The sequence below is a fragment of the Homo sapiens genome, chromosome 9, assembly GCF_000001405.40.
Source record: "Homo sapiens chromosome 9, GRCh38.p14 Primary Assembly".
NCBI classification, from domain to species: Eukaryota; Metazoa; Chordata; class Mammalia; order Primates; family Hominidae; genus Homo; species Homo sapiens.
This window is the reverse complement of record NC_000009.12, coordinates 93,505,903-93,525,090: the sequence shown is the minus strand read 5'-3', so window position 1 is coordinate 93,525,090 and position 19,188 is coordinate 93,505,903. Positions and strand designations below refer to the sequence as shown.

The window sequence follows — 19,188 nt, the reverse complement described above, 5'->3', positions numbered from 1 at the left end:
AATATATTTCAATAGGACAAATATATTACTTTACAATTAAAAAAAAAAAGAATATGACAAATGCCTTGCTTTGAAGAACAGATGGATAACATTTTAGAATACTTCTATATATATTTATGTTTCATTTTACACAACTAATAATACCTTAAACTGATACCTGGAACCATGTACGTAAACCAGACATTTCACTGACTTACACTGCGCTGAGACGTGCTGAGACAGGCACCGGCCACAGGGAAGTAGAGTCAGTGACCCGGGCACTGTGCAGGAAGCCTGTGGCGCTCTCACAATCTCATCCCCACCTCCACACTATAAATCTCTAATGATAAAATGATAAAATCCAGGCTCAGAGAGAAGGAATCTACCCACAGTCACAAATAAGGTAGCTGGATTCAAACCCAGACCCTTATTTCAAACTATTGGCACCTGCTACCACAGCAGAGCCGAGCCGACGCTACAGACAGTTTCACACATATGTGAGAATGCAGCACACAAGCAACAGAAAGGGTGACTCTGGCAAGTCAGCTTGGTGGCTGGGGAAGCCCAGCACTATAGGATGGGGTATTCACAGGCTGTCAGAGAGGTGTGCCAAGGCCTCACTTCACTAGGAACGTTTGGAGCTTCTTCCGTATGAAAGCCTGGAAAGATAGCAAACTGTTCTAGTCACTGAATGATTTTTTTTTACATCTTTCAGCAGGTTGGTGAGACTAGGATGGAAATGTATTGGTGTTCATTTACACCAAGTATACCAGGGTATGACGTGTCACTCATGTTCCTGACTGTCAGGGGTGTAGAGTTTTCCTTTATGGAGGAGAAAAGAAAGAGAACGTTAAGTAAAAACTGACTTCTGTGTCAACAGGAAAGAGCAAAGGCAAATAAACCAAAATGGAAGAAAATAAATCATTAAATTTAGAAAAGAAAAGATCAAATTCACAGCAGAACTATCTGGCATGTGTAAATTTTTCATTTCTATCTGCTCCCCAACTCAACAGGGCTGAGAACAGACAGCCGGGAGGGTCTCTGATAGTGTAACAAAGAGGGCCTGGGCCCTGCTGGTGCAGGGCAACAGAAGGCCTCAGCCTGGCTGGACAGATGCTCAGAGTTCTCCTGCACGGCCTGGCCCTGCCAAGTGCTATCTCCCTACAGAAGCACCAGTATCTGGGTGCCCTGACCAGGGAAGCTACAAGAGTCACAGAGACAGACACCTAATAGGTCTAGTCTCCTCATGCTCTAGTTAAGCTAACATCACACATTCAGTTTCCTTCACATAATGGGTGAGCTTAAAATGTCAGGAACACAGAAAGCACTTTTCCATGTGGCAGTCAGATGATGGCTCAAACTTCTTTCACAGCCTTGTTGGCACTTCTCGCTGTCATCAGAAGACAGTGTGACCAAGAAGCCCCAACTGGTCACGGAGCTATCCCCTTGCACCCCACAAGTGAGGGTTCAGAGACACCTAACTGTGTCAACACGTTTGTCTTAAGATCAATACGAAATGTCTACACAGATTAGTGGATGGCTAGAACACAACGTAATGATATAGATCACAATTAATTTTTGCCAACATATAAAATTCAGAATCACTTTTATGAGAAGATATTAGAAATGGTACCATGTGTCAAAACATAAATATAAAGTGGATATCTGTCTGGAACAAGAGCATAACAATCTGAAAGAAAAACCTACAGTTACACTAAAGTCATTCCCTCAGCCCCAGGCCTACCTACCCATGCCTCAGGATCCTGGAGCAGAGCACGATGGAATTCTCTTTGTGAAACACAAAGTTTTTTTGCAAGTAGAGTTGGAAAGGCCTTAAAGGACAAGAAAAACATTCAACACCATCTTCAAGCAAAAGAGGCACATCAGGCACAAACTTCCTGGGATACCAGATCAAAGGGAGCCAAATAAAATTCTTTTAGCTATTTTACATTAAAAACCACATCAGTGTTCTGATTTTCTAGCATACTAAGAGTTAATTTTTAAAAAGTAGTGATAGCTACCATTCATTGAGCTTTTTCATCAGCTAATTTAATACACAAACAACTCAGCAAACCTGTCACGCACATTTGAATGCTCTGAGGTTCTGCGAGCTTCAGGTCACAACATCACCTAGAAATACCAACCAAGAGACTCTGAGCAAACCGGTTCCTGCCAACAGCTAGGTCTCAGTGCTGCTCACAGAGCATGCTAACACCAAACAGCCTGCCTTCCTGTGGTTCATCTTTCACAGTCCAGATTTGGTCCAGGGAGTACATGTCATTAGCAAAAATTAACAGGGGAGGGGGATACAAGACTTATGCAAAAGATGCCTCCATAACACTACATGTCAAAATAAAAATAAATGTGGAGATGTCCTTGTTCCACAGGGCTTTCTCTCCTAAGATACATACATAAGTTCTCAAGAAAATGAAACCCATTTATACAAACAAGGTCACAAGGTGGAAAAAAACTCAGTCTTCTCTCTCAATAAGGACTTTTACATATCCATTTAAAAATGTCAGTAATTTTATGCAAAAATATTAAAGCAATAAAGTGGATGTATATAGATCTTATTAAATATTGGGTATTAAGTACATGTACATATTAATACTTACATGCACAAATAAGAATACATAGTTACGTAAGTATATTAAGGATAAAAGATGGAAGAAAAGGAAAAAGGGCAAGTTACTCTCCCTAAGATAGGACCTAGTTATTGTAAAAATCTTATTTTAGCAGATGCAGAGGAAAATAAGGTGCTTGAATATTCACCAATCTTTCAAATATAATTACCTCTCTAGAAGTAGGATCATGGGGAATTCTCTATACTGTATTGTCCAGTGTTTGAATTCTATATAACTTTGTATCAAGATGATAATTAGAAAAAAGATATAAAACAAAGAATTAAAAATTGTAATACAGTAACCTCAGATTTGATTCAGATTCTGCAAGTCCAAATGAATCTATGAAAATAACATAAAATAAACACCTCCACAAGGATTCAATTGTAATTTTTGTTTTGTTTTGTTTTTTAAACAGGATCTCACTCCGTTGCCCAGGCTGGAGTACAGTGGCACAATCTCGGCTCATTGCAACCTCCACCTCCCAGGTTCAAGCAATTCTCCTACCTCAGCCTCCCAAGTAGCTGGGACTACAAGCAAACACAACCACGTCCAGCTAATTTTTGTATTTTTTGGTAGAGAAAGGGTTTCACCATGTTGGTCTTGAACTTCTGACCTCAAGTGATCTGCCTGCCTCAGCTTCCCAAAGTGCTGAAATTACAGGCATGAGCCATTGCACCCGGCCTCAACTGTAATTCTTAATTCAACTGAAACAAGATTACAAACATCTGACAGGCACCAGGAAGGGAAAAAAGACAAGAATGTCACTTTAATTTTTAAAATTTAAACAAGAATAAAGCAAGTGTATGCTGGTACTGCTCTACTGTTCTAACAAAGGAACTGGAGGAGACATTACTTAGAAAGCCACACACTTCATTCCTTTTCTTTCTTTCCTTTTTTTTTTTTTTAAGAGACAGGGACTCATTCTGTTGCCCGGCTGGACTGCAGTGGTGCCATCATGGCTCACTACAGCCTTGAACTCCTGGGCTCAAGTGATCCTTCCGTCTTAGCCACCCAGGTTGCTGGACCCACAGGCACATGCCACCATGTCTGGCTAATTTTTAAATTTTATGTTGCCCAGGCTGGCTTCACGCAATCCCCCTGCCTCAGCCTCTCAAAGTGTGGGGATTAAAGCATGAGCCACCACATGTGGCCCCTTTTTCTTATTTTATTGCCAAACTGTTTTAGGCCTAGAATAACTGCCAGTTCTGATCACCACCCAAGCACCAGCCTATTTTCTTCCAAGGGACATGCTAGAAAGAGAGTGTTGTGTCTCTGCAAAGTAGTCAATTAAACTCAGAACTGAGCTTCCAACAGGTTCACCTTCAATTTTTTTGGAAAAATACATCGGGCAGGCACAACTATGTGGCAAGAAGTCTTCTCATATTCTCAGAACTCCTCCTCTAACAGATTTTCCAAAACTTCTAAAGAGAAATTTGTATTTCAAAAGAGTAACATAGCCCATGACGTCCATTCCAACAGCACAGGAGAACTGTACAGTACAAAGACACTGAACAACTCATCCAACTAAAGAAACTAAAATGCTGAATAAGATATTAAAGAAATACAACGAAAAGAAGAGATAAAGTTCAGGGCTGCCAAGCGCACCCAGATGAAGGCTGCCCTACTGCCCCTGAGGACTGGCTGAGAGCATTTCCTGATCTGCTGCCATCTGTGTGGATGCCTCCCCATGAACTTGGGGTTACAAGAGCATATTTTCTGTAGTGTGTATGAGGCTCCTGTGCAATGAACCCTGATGACAGCATGGGGGCACACACATCTGTTCCACCAATGTTGCTGCAATGCACACCACACACCCACCTTCCTACAGGCACAGAGCAAATCTCCACAAAGAGCACCCGCATGCTCGCAGCTCTGAGAAGTCCACAAGTCATGACAACATTCAGCAATGCTCAGTGGCGACAGCCAGGACCCAATAACTCCACCCATAACCGCCCACCACATTTTATTTTTAAAAATAAATGTTTGACAATTTTATAGGCTTTTGTAAAAGGTATCTTATGGTCTAAGTTGTAGAATTTTGATATTCTTAGTGACGGTGAACAACTTTTTATGTTTCTTGATGGCTGCTTCCCTTGTGAATTCCATGCTTATACCTTTAAGAGATGAGATGAGATCTCACTACATTGCCCAGGAGAGAGCGCATTGGCCATTCACAGGTATGATCATAGCTCACTGCAGCCTCAACCTCCTGGGCTCAAGTGATCCTCCCACCTCAGCCTCCCGAGTAGCTGGGACTACAGGTGTACAGTACCATACCCAGCACAGTTGTATCTTTTTCCATTTAAAACAGTTGCCATCAGCTGCACACAGTGGCTCATGCCTGTAATCCCAGCACTTTCGGCAGAGGTAGGAGGATTGCTTGAGGCCAGGAGTTTGAAACCAGCCTGGGCAATACAGCGGTACCCCATAACTACAAATAATACAGGTTAGCTGGGTGTGGTGGAACATGTCTTTCGTCTCAGGTGGAACATGCTAAGGTGTGAGGATCACCTGAGCCCAGGAGTTTGAGGCTACAGTGAGTTATGATGGTCCCACTGCACTCCAGCCTGGGTGAAACAGCAAGACCCTGTCCCTAAAAAAATAATAATAATAATTTTAGAAAACCACTTACCTTTTTAATTCATAGGAAGCTTTTTTCTTTTTTTGTTGTCTCTTTTTTTATGTAACAATCCCCATCGCCCATCACTACCACCCTTTAAAAGAGTGCCACTGATTCATTGTTGGGGAAACTAGGCCATTTATTTTGCAGGGTGTCCCACATTATTCCTTCCTTGTGGTATCACTGAACGTACACTACAGAAGACAGGAGAAGTTAGGTCTGGACAATGAAAGGCAGAGTGCAGCAGGTGGGGTCACACCTTGCTATGCATCTAGAAGGCCAATCGCCTCCGCTATTTTACAGTCTAGAAATTATAAATGTTTCTGGCCAGGCACGGTGGGTCACGCCTGTAATCCCAGCACTTTGGGAGGCCGAGGTGGGGGGATCACCTGAGGTCAGGAGTTTGAGAACAGCCTGGCCAACATGGTGAAACCTCATCTCTACTAAAAATACAAAAAATTAGCTGGGCATGGTAGTAGGCAACTGTAATCCTAGCTAGTCAGGAGGCTGGGGCAGGAGAATCGCTTGAACCTGGGAGGCAGAGGTTGCAGTTAGCCGAGATCATGCAATTGCACTCCAGCCTGGCCAACAAGAGTAAAATTCCATCTCAAAAAAATTTAAAAATACATACATATATATAAACATTTCTACCATCAATATATTTTAAGACCAGAGTTCTGGAGTTCAACTGTTTCCACCAGCTGAATGGTCTGACTGTCCGGAGACCCACTGTCCCGAGGGCAAATGGCATCAAGGTGTGAGTAAACTCACCTCCAAAGAAACACCAGGGTCTCTCCAGCCTAAGGTCATGCTAAGCACACTCTGGATCAGGAGTGTCTAACCTTTTGGCATCCCTGGGCCACACTGGAAGAAGAAGAATTGTCTTGGGCCCCATATAAAATAGACTAACAATAGCTAATGAGCTTTAAAAAAAAAATCAGAAAAAAAATCTCAATGTTTTAAGGAAGTTTATGAATTTGTGTTGGGCCTCCATCCTGTGCTGCGTGCGGCCCGTGGGCCACGGGATGAACAAGTTTGCTCTAGATGTTTCCCGTGGCACGTAGAACACATCCAGCTGTGCACGGCCCAGCCCTGCTGGTCCTCACACCACAGGCCATCAGCTGGCTCACTTCTTTCTCCCAGTTTTCCTGCCCTCCTTTGCTCTGGTGCTCCCAGTTCCCCGCTCCTCACTCTCGGCATGTCTTCTTCACGCACTCGTCAGGGCTTCTATGTTCACTGCTTACATACTCTCCTCCAGAATGCAAGCTCTGCGCACAGACCTCATCACTCCTGTCCTCTGCCCTGTTCACTGGTAAATAAATGCCCAAGTATTTCTTGCTAAGAGAATGAATAATTTCTGTTCCCTTAGGGCCATCCTGAAAAGGCAACGTAGGTCCCGGGGTCCTCATTCAATTCTAAACCAAAGGGTAAAAAAGTAGTGACTTTTTTTCTAAACTATAAAAGCAATTCTTTGTTCTCTTATGCACAGCCTAAGGGGCACATTATACACTGCAGATACAACCAATTCAACACACTAGAACCCTTGCTGAAAATCATGAACACTGTCTCTACTTGGCACACGCGTCATACCCCTGCACCTGCCACAAGCAAAGGATGCCTGTGATCAAGGGTTTCACCCCAAGTTGAATGCTAGTTTCTGACCCCAAAGCCTTCAGGAACAAGCACCCTTGTCTCCTCTGCCTTCATTCATCTCAAGTCTAACATGTCTGTCTCTTCCTTATTATAGGGTGTACCCTGCATTCCTCATGGCACTTCATACCACAAGGATGGCAAAACACAAGACCCCGAGCAGGTCAAATTCCAGTGGCAGAAACAAGATGCATCTCCAGAAAACAGTAAAGATGCCATACCAGGAATAAAGACAATAAGCACTTGGAGAGGTCAGATGCCCAGAGCTCCAAAAAGCTGACCAGAACCTTCACAGACAGGTAGGAAGTGCATACCCAGAAAAGACAGGACATGCTCAGGCAGTCCTACTCACTCCAAGTTCAGCTCATCCTAACAAAGACAACTTGCCAAATTAGATGGGCAACTCACATTCTTCTCAATCCCTCCCCACCGGAGGAACAAGCACCTCAACTGAAACATGCCCCAGTCACCACCCACGTCCCCAAGTCAGCACCTTGACCTGGTTTCCACATCTCCATCACTAGCATGGAACTCTTGTTGGGGTCATAAAGCTTACTTCTTTTGCTTTTTGTCTTACTTCTTACCTATGTTTCACAGTTTAGAAAGAACATTTCTTACTAAGACAAAAACTGTATTGTACAGACACTTGGACCTTGCTGACATGAGTCACGTTTTACAACAAAATGCACATGCCTTAGAAATCTGGCACATAAGGGCTTCCAAGACCATCAAGCAGTTGTTCTCAAACTTCAGTGTGCTAAAGACTGACTGAGGTGCTTATTTAAAATGCAAATTTGGGGGCCCCAACCAGAGATTCTGATTCAATGGGTACTCAATATATTATCTTGCTAGAGGTTAATTTAAAAATTTGAATATTCAATTGCAACTCTTTACTTCATTTTAGAGTCTTGGCATTGCATATACAGCAAATAAACATTTATTAATTTTATACTTCTCTGCACATACAACAAATCAACATTTATTAATGTTATACTTCTCTGCTATAAACAGGGTATGCATCCCTGGATGGCAGAGAGTCCTTCAGTAAGCTCTGCCCTGGGTCAACAGACATTTATTCCCATTTCACAGATGGACAGAGGACAGAGAGGAAAAGATCACCTGCTTCAGGTGACACACAAGGTAAGAACTGGCATGGAAGCTGACACCTATGTCTCTTACATTTCCTACATCAGAAACAGATGTAACATCAACCAGCCCTGGTTATCTGCGCTGTAAAGTAGAGTTCACACCAAGGAAAAGGAGACACTGACTTAAAGAAAAGAAATATTCTTTCCCTGTTTTTTTTGTTTTAAACATAAGACAATTTAAAGAAAGGGAGGAGTGCAAATTAAAGATTTCCTCGATCAAATTTTAACCAACTATGTATTTGTGAACCCATTTATTCAGGGACACACAGTGTTTAAAATACTCCTCTAAGGAAACAATTCCAGCCTGGGTCTAGGCAGCTTTCTAGGGTTTTGCTTGGGCAAACAGTGTTATTTCCAAAGTGTCCTGTAACCTGCTGAGTTTAGGAGAAGGAGAGGAAATTCAGAGCTCCCTTGATCCAGGAGCCAGAAGATTAATGTTTCGGGGGTCGGCAGGGGGTTGCTGTGACGGGTGTGAGTGGCACCACACCGGACAAATGCCCCCATGTTTTGGTCATCACACAAACCAGTTCTTGTCAAATTCCTCCCCAGAAAGTTTCCTGTGGCTCCAGGCCATGGGGCTGGGATAGTGCAGATTTTAAATCATGGAAACTTCAAGAACATACCTACTCTTCCTCTCTCCTCTCTGTCCAAGGAGCCCCCATCTGAGTACAGACTGACCATCACCCACCTGCAATAAACTACATCTCTGAGCAAAACACCAGCTGGGCTGGCAGGCCAGAAGGCAGCTTCCCCAGGTCACTACCCGCCAGGAAGCACCCAGCGACCCACGCACCACTCACTTTGTCGCCCCTCCGCTGCCCTCGTCGTTGTCGGAAGATGACGATGTAGAAGAGCCAGGGAAGTAGGCGGAATCCACGTGGTTGGGGCTGCCGCTCTGGGCCGGGTTGATGGGCGAGGACCGCTCATACAGCGGCGTGTGCTTCCCTTCGTGAGGAATGTTGCTGTAGCTGTTCTGCTCCGTCAGATTCTTCCCGCTCGTGTCCAAAGTGAGAGGTGCTGGCTCAGAGAGGCTGTACGGGTATGGACCCTGGCCCGGGGCGCCCCCTGGGCTGGGCACCTGTGGGGCCTGAAGCGAAGGGCACAGGTCACGCACACGTGGCCAGCAGGACCCGACTCAGGCCCAGGCTGACGTTTCCTGGCTCATTTTTATTTCAACAAACACTGGCATCTATTTCACGTATCAATTCAAGAGGTTAGGAACTTATTTTAGCATTCGTTGAAATTCAATGCACGCACCCTGTCTGAGACCCGCCACCCGACCCAACGCAGGGAAGGCCTTACCACGGGCTTTGCTTGCAGAGAGGTCTGCGGAATGTTGAGCATCTGAGGAGGAACATGCGGCGGCACCATCCCAGGCATTCCAAACGGACCGGGTCTGGCTGCTTCACCAACACAGAAAGAAAAGAATCACACAGCTGTGAACAGAATGCGTTTTCCAGGGCATCCTGGGGGCCAGCCCATGGCGCCAGGGATCTCACCCTCACCTGGCTCAGACATCGACACCACCATGGGTCCCACTTCTCAGAAATCATTACAAATTGCCATTTCACAGTAAGGAAAACTTAATTTTATGATGCTCCATTTGATGGACTCGGGCTGGGATTCTAACTTTCCAGATTTCTCAGTGAACTTGCCATAGTGGTTCTGCTCTCGTGTACTTCCTGAGGGCCTCGGCTGTCCCTCTGCCTGCAACTTGGTGGGGATTCTCTGTAACTCAGTCTCCCTGCTCAGGGCTGCTCCTAGCCTGAGGTCTCCGTGAAACCAGAAGCCCTGGCAGGCATGAAAGGAACAAAGTCGGACCGAACAGTTTCCTTTACCTTTGTCAAGCAAGAGGACTTTTCTATTTAAAGTACATTGCAACTACCATTAGGTTCTCAGCTAACTAGTGAGTTTTTAAATATAAAAGGAATTGCTTTTCATTGTTCAGCAATTAGGTTACACATTTTAACACATATACAGGATGAGTAATTTGTGATTCTGTGTTCTCTTAAAACATAATTTCATAAACCTGCCTGATGTGTGCTGCCATGTGCTAGTCATCATTCCCACGCTACCTTGCAAAAATGAAGAAATCTGTGAGAGGACTGAAAGCCACATAGAGGAATGGCTGAAGCAGGACAGCAGGACATGGAACCAGGCCAGCCTGAAGCTGGGACAGAAGGCAGGGGCTGGAAGCCTCCCCACTCAACCTCTGGCCTCGCGCGGCCTAACTAAGCACAGGAAGAGAGCTCAGGGGCCACGTCAGCCAACAGAAGTGAATGAGTGAGTAGATGGTGCCCATAAAGGGCTGTTCCAGAGACAGCACAAGACCCGCAGTAACAAGGACCGACTGGGGCCCAAATGATATGCAGGAAGCAGGAGGACATGGGACATGGACCTCTAGGAGCTGCACTCCCTCTCAGAACACTTAGGTGCTGAGGGCCTATGATGTGTCAAGCTGAGGACTGGGCCTGGGGATGAAAGGAGCCCTGAGGCGGTTTAAGTAAGATGCACACTGCTGAAGACACAGAGAAAATAGAAAACCTGTGTGAGACACAACAGATCCACCAGGGGCTTGCACGGCTGCACCATCTCTTCCTTGGGTTTGTTTTAAATGTGGAAGAAAACCAAGCCCAGAGCTTGCTGACTCCAATTTCCCTCTTTAAGCAGTAGATATGCTTCTACAACCTCTTCATCTGAACACCAGTTGATATGGTTAGGCTGCACATCCCCACCCAAATCTCATCTTGAATTATAATCCCCATAATCCCCACGTGTCTAGGCAGAGAGACTAGGTGGAGGTAATTGGATCATAGGGGCAGTTTCTCCCATGTTCTTCTAATGATAGTGAATGAGTTCTCACAAGATCTGATGGTTGTATAAGGGGCTCTTCCCCCTTCACTCGACACTTCTTACCGCTGCCTTGTTAAGAAGGTGCCTTGCTTCCCCTTCAACTTCTGCCATGATGCTAAGTTTCCTGAGGCCTCCCCAGCCATGCTGAACTGTGAGTCAATTAAACCTCTTTCCTTCATAAATTATCCAGTCTCAGGCAGTTCTTTATAGCAGTATGAAATCAGAGGAAAACACCAGGCAAGGGGAACACAACCCAAGAACCACCACCTCTCACACTGCCTACTGCCAATATAGGTAAGGACAGAAACATTCCCCAAACCTTCACTCTCGTTCTCTGAAAAGCAAATGTCCATGGCTGCATTCACAAGAGGTTCCCTAAGCCAACACTGGGCGTGGTGAGACCAGGAGTGCAAACGCTGTCCTTGGTCCGGCCTCCTGAGAGCCAAGCATGGTCAACAGACGCTGGGAGTGAAGCACAGATCATTGTTGACTCCCCCCAGAGAACGACCAGGAATCTTACAGACTACAATTTATCTGAGGTTCCTGCCTTCCAAGGGCCTTCAGCTCGCAAGCTTTAAACACCATAGCCCTTCGATCCTGGCTCGCATCAAGAAAAAACCTTGGCAGAGCTTCCACCTTTGTACCAAACAAAAACAACTGCAGTATGAGAAGCTGGGAATAATGAGACTGGCATGTGTGTAGTCACAGACACCTCACACTTGCATGCAACACGCACATAGACACACGTGCACACAACACATTCCTAACTGACCGATAAGTCCACAAGTCCGTGCCTCTAAGGGATGTGTGTGCATGATCAAGTGGTCACTCACACACAGGCGTAGATACACACAGAAGTGCACACAAACACACCCCACACGTGCATGCATGGCGCACACACACGCATGGCACAGACAATACAAGGAGCTGTTCCTAAAACAGTATGTTGGCTAGATCTGCACCTCCACGTGTGCGATCAAAGTCGCTATTATTTTAAAAAACTGTTCACAGGTGATTCTGATAGGCAGGTTTGGTCCAAAGAATATTATAAAATCTATTCAAGCTCCAACCATATAATTTAAATCAATGTAAAATGTCTAGTGTATAATATCTTGTGGCTGACCTCACTTACCTAACTTTGGAATAATACAAATCTAAGGCTAGACTCATGTAGCACCCGCATTCAAGTGAAGATGATCATTTTTGTTTTTTGATTTTTGGCCATTTCATCCTAAAACCTTCCTTGAAAGCACAAACTTTCCTTTAAAGCAAACAAACAAACTACATTACAGCATAAAACCAAAGAATTCCAAGGAAAGAATATTTTCTAAAATCACATTCCAATCATTGACCTCAAATAATCCTCTGTGAATCCACAGAGCAAGCCACTATTCTATTAAAGCAGTCCAATAAGTGAATTAATTTGTCTGCATTTTCTGAAGGCTGCAGAAGTGCCTCCTAACCCAGGGTCTCCCTCTGCGGATTCAGGCCTTCGTCTATATCGGTTCTTGTTCTCCATGCCCAAGTGCAGCTGAGCAGAACCACTGTGTGTCCTCTCTACAACAAGAGGCATCTTTCTCAGAAGGGACACGGGGCTCCAGAGTAGAGGTCACACCACCAGTTTCTCACTCTCTTCCTTTCACACTTACTAGAGAGGTGGGCTTTCGGTAAAAAAAAAAATATGCAGACTGAAGACAAGAAGCAAAAGAAGAAAAAAAGGCCAAAAAAGTTTACTATATTTCAAAATATTTCGTAACTTTAAAAATAGTTTTTAAATAGTGAGAAGTTCTTTCAGAATGAAAAGAGACATGCACTGCAATCCCTCGGCTGTATGATCTTGACTTGTTACAGCTCAGTCACCTACTTCCTCAAAGGACTCACTTACGCCTATATGCAGCTGTGTGGCTTTTGCTCTGAATTAAAATACGGTAAAATTCTTTAAAGAAATGGTGTTAAACTGGAACCTCTTCTTAGAACTACAGTCGGCCTTACCCCAGTCCCCATTCCTAGCCCAACCTAACAAATGTTCCTCTATTACTTGGCATATGATCCTGAAATGTTAAACAAAACAAAGAGTAACAAAGTTAAGTCTTAAAAAACAAAAAACAAAACAAAACAAAAAACTGGCCTGGTTCAGTGGCTCATGCCTGTAATCCCACCACTTTGGGAGGCCAAGGCAGGCGAATCACTTGAGGTCAGGAGTTCAAGATCAGCCTGACCAACATGGCGAAAGCCCGTCTCTACTAAAAATAAAAAAATTAGCCAGGCATGGTGGCAGGCGCCTATAACCCCAGCTACTCGGGAGGCAGAGGCTGAAAATCGCTTGAACCCTGGAGGCAGAGGCTGTAATCAGCAGAGATCGTGCCACTGCACTCTGGCCTGGGTGACAGAATGAGACTCCATCTCATAAATAAATAAATAAACAGGCAGACATTGTATGATTTTCAAGTATCACCCAAAAAATATAGCTTTGAAGATGTCGAGTCCAAGATTAAACAAATCAATATAATCCCTACCACCTTTAATTTTCATCGCTTGCAAACACAGACAAGGCAAAACATTCCAACCATTTTAAGCATGTGCAAACAGACATGTTTACTAAATCTCAATAGTCTACAGAAGATAAAAAGTTATAGAAAGGAAACTGTCATGTGACCTGTTCCCGTTACACTACAGATCCAGTGTCCAGAGAGGCAGGGTGGGGCCTTGGAGCACAGTGGGAGGGCGCGGCGTCTGGCCATCCTATAGGGAGAGGAGGCCCCACAGAGCCGGTCAGGCTGGCCAAGCCTGGACTGAGACCAGGTGCAATGTCAGTGCCCAGGGAGGCAAAGGATGGAGGAGCAACTCCCAAGAGCTAAGAGCCTGGGAGCAGCTGATGCTGGCCCAAAGCCTGCGGTGTTGGCCAGACCCCAAGGGAAGAGCCAGAGGCCGGCGCCCAGAAGAGGAGGCCTGGTGACAGAAGGAGGCAAAACCTGAGGCATGATCAGCTTGAAGAAGGCTAAGTACAAGGCCCATGAGAAGTAAGATTATGAACTCAGTGAACAGGCACATCCTGCGTGGCACGTGAAAGAATTCGGAACAGCGGGAAAAATTAAACCACGGAAGCAAATTTCAAGTCAACAGAAACAAGAACTTTCTAAGAATGAGAGCAGTTCAACAATGAAAAGGGTTGCTTTACTGACTGCTGGACTGCTCATACAAGAACATTCTACAGCAGGGAGCTGGGCTGAACTTCTATAAACATTCCTCACTCCCCAAATCCTTTCCATCCCTGAATGTGGATAGTGAGAGGGTAGACATCACGAGATACGGCATCATTCGAATCTACCCAGTGCCCCAGTCTCAAGTAGCAAGTTTTATCTAAATGTATTCAGTTCCTGGGTTTAATTAATCAGTTTGAACAGAATACTTGTACTGACTGAGCAAAGTTCAAGAAGGCAGAATAGGAACATTACATCTCATCAAGGCTGGTTACGGTGGCTCATGACTACAATCCCGACACTGGGGGCTGAGGCAGTTCAGACCAGGCCAGGCAACACATCAAGACTGTTTCTACACACACTCATAAAAGCAACACAAAAACAAACAAACAAAAATCCCAAATCCCATTTAGCCACTGAAATGTGTTTTATAAGTCTATGATGAAATAAGATAAATTAGTTTCTGTCCATTTGTGGGTTTTGGAAAAGCACAACCTAAAAGAGAACTCTACCAGGTCGCTACTTTGAAGTCACTGGTAAACTGAACTGACATTCCTCATTTGTAACCAAATATTGAAACGCCATTAACAAATACAACATTAATAAACCTAAGTGCATCCACTTTGGGAAGACACACACTGCAGTCTTTTAAGTCAGACAATAGCTCAAAGGAGGGTGTAGGTTCTTCCAAAACATTCGATTTTTAAGTTCAAAATAAAAATGACCTTCCAAAATGGCCACATGATCAGGCAGCCTGTGTCACTTCCTACTTCACACTAACTACCACAAACTCACTGAAAATGGAGCGAAAGGTCGCAGAGCAGACGCTGAAAGCAAAGCCCCCAGCACCAGCAGAAGAATCCAATTTTCTACTTGGGAATTCTGGACCAGAAGGGCAAGATGAGTGGCCGTTCTACTCAATGGGAGTAATGCTCTGACTTCCCTCTGGTGCCCTTTATTCTGTCAGCCTCCGGGGCTTAACATCAACGTCATCTGCATTAGCTTTAAAGATAAAAACTCATCAAGATGAACTAGGACGCATCTCAAAAAGACCAAGTGCAGAACAGCAAGCACAATACAGAATTTAATTTAAAATTAATGTATTAATTATTCCATATGTATGAGGTGAGAAAATATAAAAACATGTTCAAGGGGTCTGTACATGACTTTTAGAAAAGCCTGAAGCATCTCTTTTTTATTAAAAGACTGATCTGAAGCACAGGTTGCCATTTGTATAACCTGAAGTAGGTACGCCACCACTCATTCTACTGTTTCTTCTATTTTTTGTTAACAGTTTTTCATCACAACAACAACAAAACTTTAGTAAAAATCTAAGAAAGGGCAAGTCTAGTAAGCAAAGCTACAGGACAAAGTGAGGATTTAATATAACATTTTTAAGGAATATCAAATTTTTAAGGTTATTAGTAAAATACTGCAATAGTATAATATTGAATACCTCATGAAAATAAAATTTTTTTAAAAATCATTATAGTAGCAAAAAACTAAACACGTTCTTGACAACGACAGCAGAGACATGGCTAAATTACATAGCACCTCCACATTGCAGAGTACCAGACCATCTCTGGAGAAAATAAGAAAGTCATCACCAGCTTCTATAATGGGCCCCACTTACGGCTCATAGCCCCCAGGCTTGGTCAGTCCCAACCCCCGAGGCCATCCATGCTCCCTGCTGAGCCCACTCCTCTGCAGGAGGCCCCAGGCACTCCACTTCTGCCCTGACCACAACAGGACAGGAGGGCCACTGGGTGGGTCCAGGTGGGTCCAGCCATCCAGCTGTCAGCCAGGCATGGCCTGGGGCAGTGTGGGCCACCATGTGGTCTCTTTCACATTTCCACTCTTTCTGCCCTAGAGGACCTGCCTCTATCCTTTGGTCCTTTTGCTAGAGCACTCAGCTGACTCAGGCAGGTTACACTACAGATTTCTCACCAGAGCCTGCAGTGGGCTCTGTTCAGACCTCCAGGGTCTGAGTGGCATGCCATTGAGTTCCCTGGAGGCTGAACACCTTTTCTCCGCAGCTTAGGATCAGTCATCTGGCATTTAAAATCATTCTTTACATATTGTCTTTCCAACTTCCGAGTGGGATATTTTCTCATGTTCTCAGATTCTGGGGGGTATGTTATTGGAGAGAGATCGTGTGTATTTTCAAAATAACTGTTAACACTATCTATTGAGCAATGCGACACTGGGATCAGGGCTGTGGTGACACATATGAAGTAGGGCTGTTTATTCTATGGAAAAGTCAGGGGAGCAGCAGGACACACAGACCTCATGCAGCACAGGAGCCCCTCTCAGTCAGGATGGAGTGATGCCCAAGAGCAAAGCAGGGGCAGGATCCCCATGGCCAGAGCCCAGAACACCAGCCCCAGGACCAACCCAGCTTCTCCCTCAGGTTTGTCACAAGTAACTTTCACAACATGAATTCCCTCTCCTGGGCAGGCTGCCTGAGCTGGAGGTAGCAGTGCCCACCCCAGGCCACTCAGCCTGCTGTCTCCTAGGTCTGCATCCAGGTCAGTCACTGGGCGTTGCAGGAAGGTGATCCCTCAGACACAGTCTGGTCTGGTAGAATGTGACCAGCCTTGGGGACCTGTCAGGGCACAGGCTGACCACAGGCTCCTGTCCCAATGAAACACACCACGGGGCCCTTCCCAAGCACCTGGCAGCTGCTACACCCAGAGGTCACTGTGTTGCTGTGACCAGGACCAGGTTGCTCATCACTGTGTAGCATCTGTTCTTTGCTTAGTACTGATTAGCACCTTTTTCAACATGGTCCTATTTGCAAATTTCTTCTCTGACACACAGCAGCCTGGCTGCTCTACACATATGCCCTCAGTCTACTCACTCTGTGACCTCCCCATGCTGCTTAGTGGAGGCTAGACTTTCAAAAGACCAGGTAGCAGGAGGCTGTCTGCTATGAGAGATCAAGCTCCCCTACCTTCACTGTAAAACCACATGTGCACCAAAACCACTCCCTTCTGTATCTTTAACCCCTCTCTCTCAGTAGTCATCATCCCCATAACAACTTCAACCTGTTCAATTCTCCCCTGCATTTCAAAGCCCCACCCCTTTATGGAAATGACTGGAGAGAGGCGTGGTACTTGCCACCCATCCTATCCTCTTCTACGAATTTCTATACTGAGGAAGAAGGAAAGCTAAAAATGACTTTTCCTAGGATCCACTGCCTCTTATTGAGGGCCAACCAATTGTACATACACAAGGTTTGGGAGCTCCAAATTCAGCCGAAGCCTGCCCTGAGTGGTCCTACTGACACTCCATCTATCAGGCAGCGCCCTCATCTTGCCCAACCTCTCAGAACTCAGCGCTGCTAACAACTGTGCACAGGGTATCTCCCCTGGCCTCGCTGAGCCACTCTTTCTGTGCACCCACCTCCTGCATCTGGCCCCAGGGGCGCCATCTCTTTATCCTCCGCTTCCACCACCACAGCTCCTCTCAGCATTACACACCAGCAAAGCTGCAACCCATGACTCCAGCTTAGCTCCTCACTCTGCTTTCACCTGTGCATTCTAATGCCTGTTTCCCATCTCCACCGGGATCCTAGAAGGCGCCTCAACATTCGTATCCAAAACCATCCTCCAAATCTGCTCTTCCTCCAACCATCTTTATCTCATTAATGGCATCCTCACCTGAGCTGCTCAAGCCAAAACTCTGGGAGCCATTTCCCCCGAATTCTTTTCATTGAGCTTCTATAATCAAGCATCAATATCTACTATCTACTTATTCCATCTCCCAAAAACCTATGAAATCCACCCAGCACTCCTGCCTCCCACAGAGGAGAACTTGCCCCAGGGACTGCAACCATGCCTTGCCTCAATACTGAAAGAGTTTCCCACTCCTTTCCCTATACCTGCCCTTGCCCACTCTGATCCCCTCTGCACACTGAGGCCCAAGCAATTCAAATGCACACCTCAGCACACCACTCCCAGATTAAAACTCTTTCATGAGGATATTTCTTTAACATGGAAAAGGTAGAGGAGATAATGCTAAGGGTTAAGATGACAAGACATCAGACTCCCCCTTAAGATCAAGGGCTAGACAAGAACAGTCACCATCGCACCTTCTATTAAAAATCGTGCCCCGGCCAGGTGTGGTAGCTCACACCTGTCCATTTGTGGACAGCACTTTGGGAGGCCGAGGTGGGCAGATCATGAGGTCAGGAGTTCGAGATCAGCCTGGCTAACACAGTGAAACCCCGTCTCTACTAAAAATACAAAAATTAGCCGGGCATGGTGGCAGGCACCTGTAATCCCAGCTACTCGGGAGGCTGAGGCAGGAGAATTGCTTGAACCCAGGAGGTGGAGGTTGCAGTGAGCTGAGATTGTATCACTGCACTCCAGTCTGGGCGACAGAGCGAGACTCCATCTTGAAAACAAAAAAAAAAGAAGAAAAAAAAAAATCATGCCCTAAGTCACAGCTGGCTCAGTGGATCAGGAAGATCAAAAAGATACTAGAGGAGACACAATCAGCCAAAGCAAGATACAAATAAACTATGAAAATTAATAAGAACTGAGCAAAGTTGTTAAGATAAAATCAACTTACAGTATTAATTTGAAAATATAAGACACACATAGAAATAGCACCCAAAAATAAATATTTAGCAATATCTCTAAGAAAAGATGTTATGAATGCTTAATGAAGAAAATTCAAGTTTACGGAAAGATATTCAGGACAATTCAAATCAATAAAGAAATGTAACATTTTCTTTAGTACACTCAATAATAAAGATTTTATTCTTTCCAAATTGATCTACAGAGTTGGTGTAATTCCAATCAAAATCTCCACAAGGATCATAAAATGTACATAAAAGTGAAAAGGATCAAGAACAGTCTCGACCTCTTGCAGAAATATTACATGGGCAGATTTCCCCAATCAGACATCAAGTATTATTACAAGGCTATGGCAACTAGAACGGCATAATCCTGTGGCATGAAGATAATCAGAAATTCAACAGAACTGAGCCCAGAAACAGACCCACACACGGAGACACTCAACATGTCAGAAGAGGATAGCATTCTCAGTGGACAATACTAAGGCAACAGGTTCTCCACACGGTGAACAAGAAACTGAATTCCCTCACT

General features: G+C 44.8%; 1 protein-coding gene across 15 annotated transcripts in view, besides 2 other annotated features; it reads right to left on the bottom strand.

The window, feature by feature from the left end:
• Window positions 1–19,188, bottom strand: part of FAM120A (family with sequence similarity 120 member A) — a 114,428-nt gene that overhangs the window by 41,022 nt on the left and 54,218 nt on the right. For 7 of the 15 annotated variants that reach the window (NM_014612.5, XM_005251842.6, NM_001439105.1 and 4 more), the window contains exons 6-7: window positions 9,324–9,424; window positions 8,822–9,108 (exon numbers count right to left, since the gene is read on the bottom strand). In NM_014612.5, coding sequence (NP_055427.2) covers window positions 8,822–9,108; window positions 9,324–9,424 — 388 coding nt within the window. Of the gene's footprint in view, window positions 1–1,727; window positions 1,812–8,821; window positions 9,109–9,323; window positions 9,425–19,188 lie in introns of all 15 variants that reach the window. The other 8 variants (NM_001439102.1, XM_011518413.3, NM_001439104.1 and 5 more) reach the window with 3 other exon arrangements.
• Window positions 13,580–13,767: a silencer, noted in NCBI's record as "fragment chr9:96273606-96273793 (GRCh37/hg19 assembly coordinates)". NCBI's record gives its function as "represses an EF-1alpha promoter that drives an FKBP-Casp9 reporter gene in an ReSE screen in phorbol 12-myristate 13-acetate-treated (for megakaryocytic differentiation) K562 erythroleukemia cells {active_cell/tissue: K562(+PMA)}" and the evidence as "EXISTENCE:reporter gene assay evidence [ECO:0000049][PMID:32094911]".
• Window positions 16,031–16,226: a silencer, noted in NCBI's record as "fragment chr9:96271147-96271342 (GRCh37/hg19 assembly coordinates)". NCBI's record gives its function as "represses an EF-1alpha promoter that drives an FKBP-Casp9 reporter gene in an ReSE screen in phorbol 12-myristate 13-acetate-treated (for megakaryocytic differentiation) K562 erythroleukemia cells {active_cell/tissue: K562(+PMA)}" and the evidence as "EXISTENCE:reporter gene assay evidence [ECO:0000049][PMID:32094911]".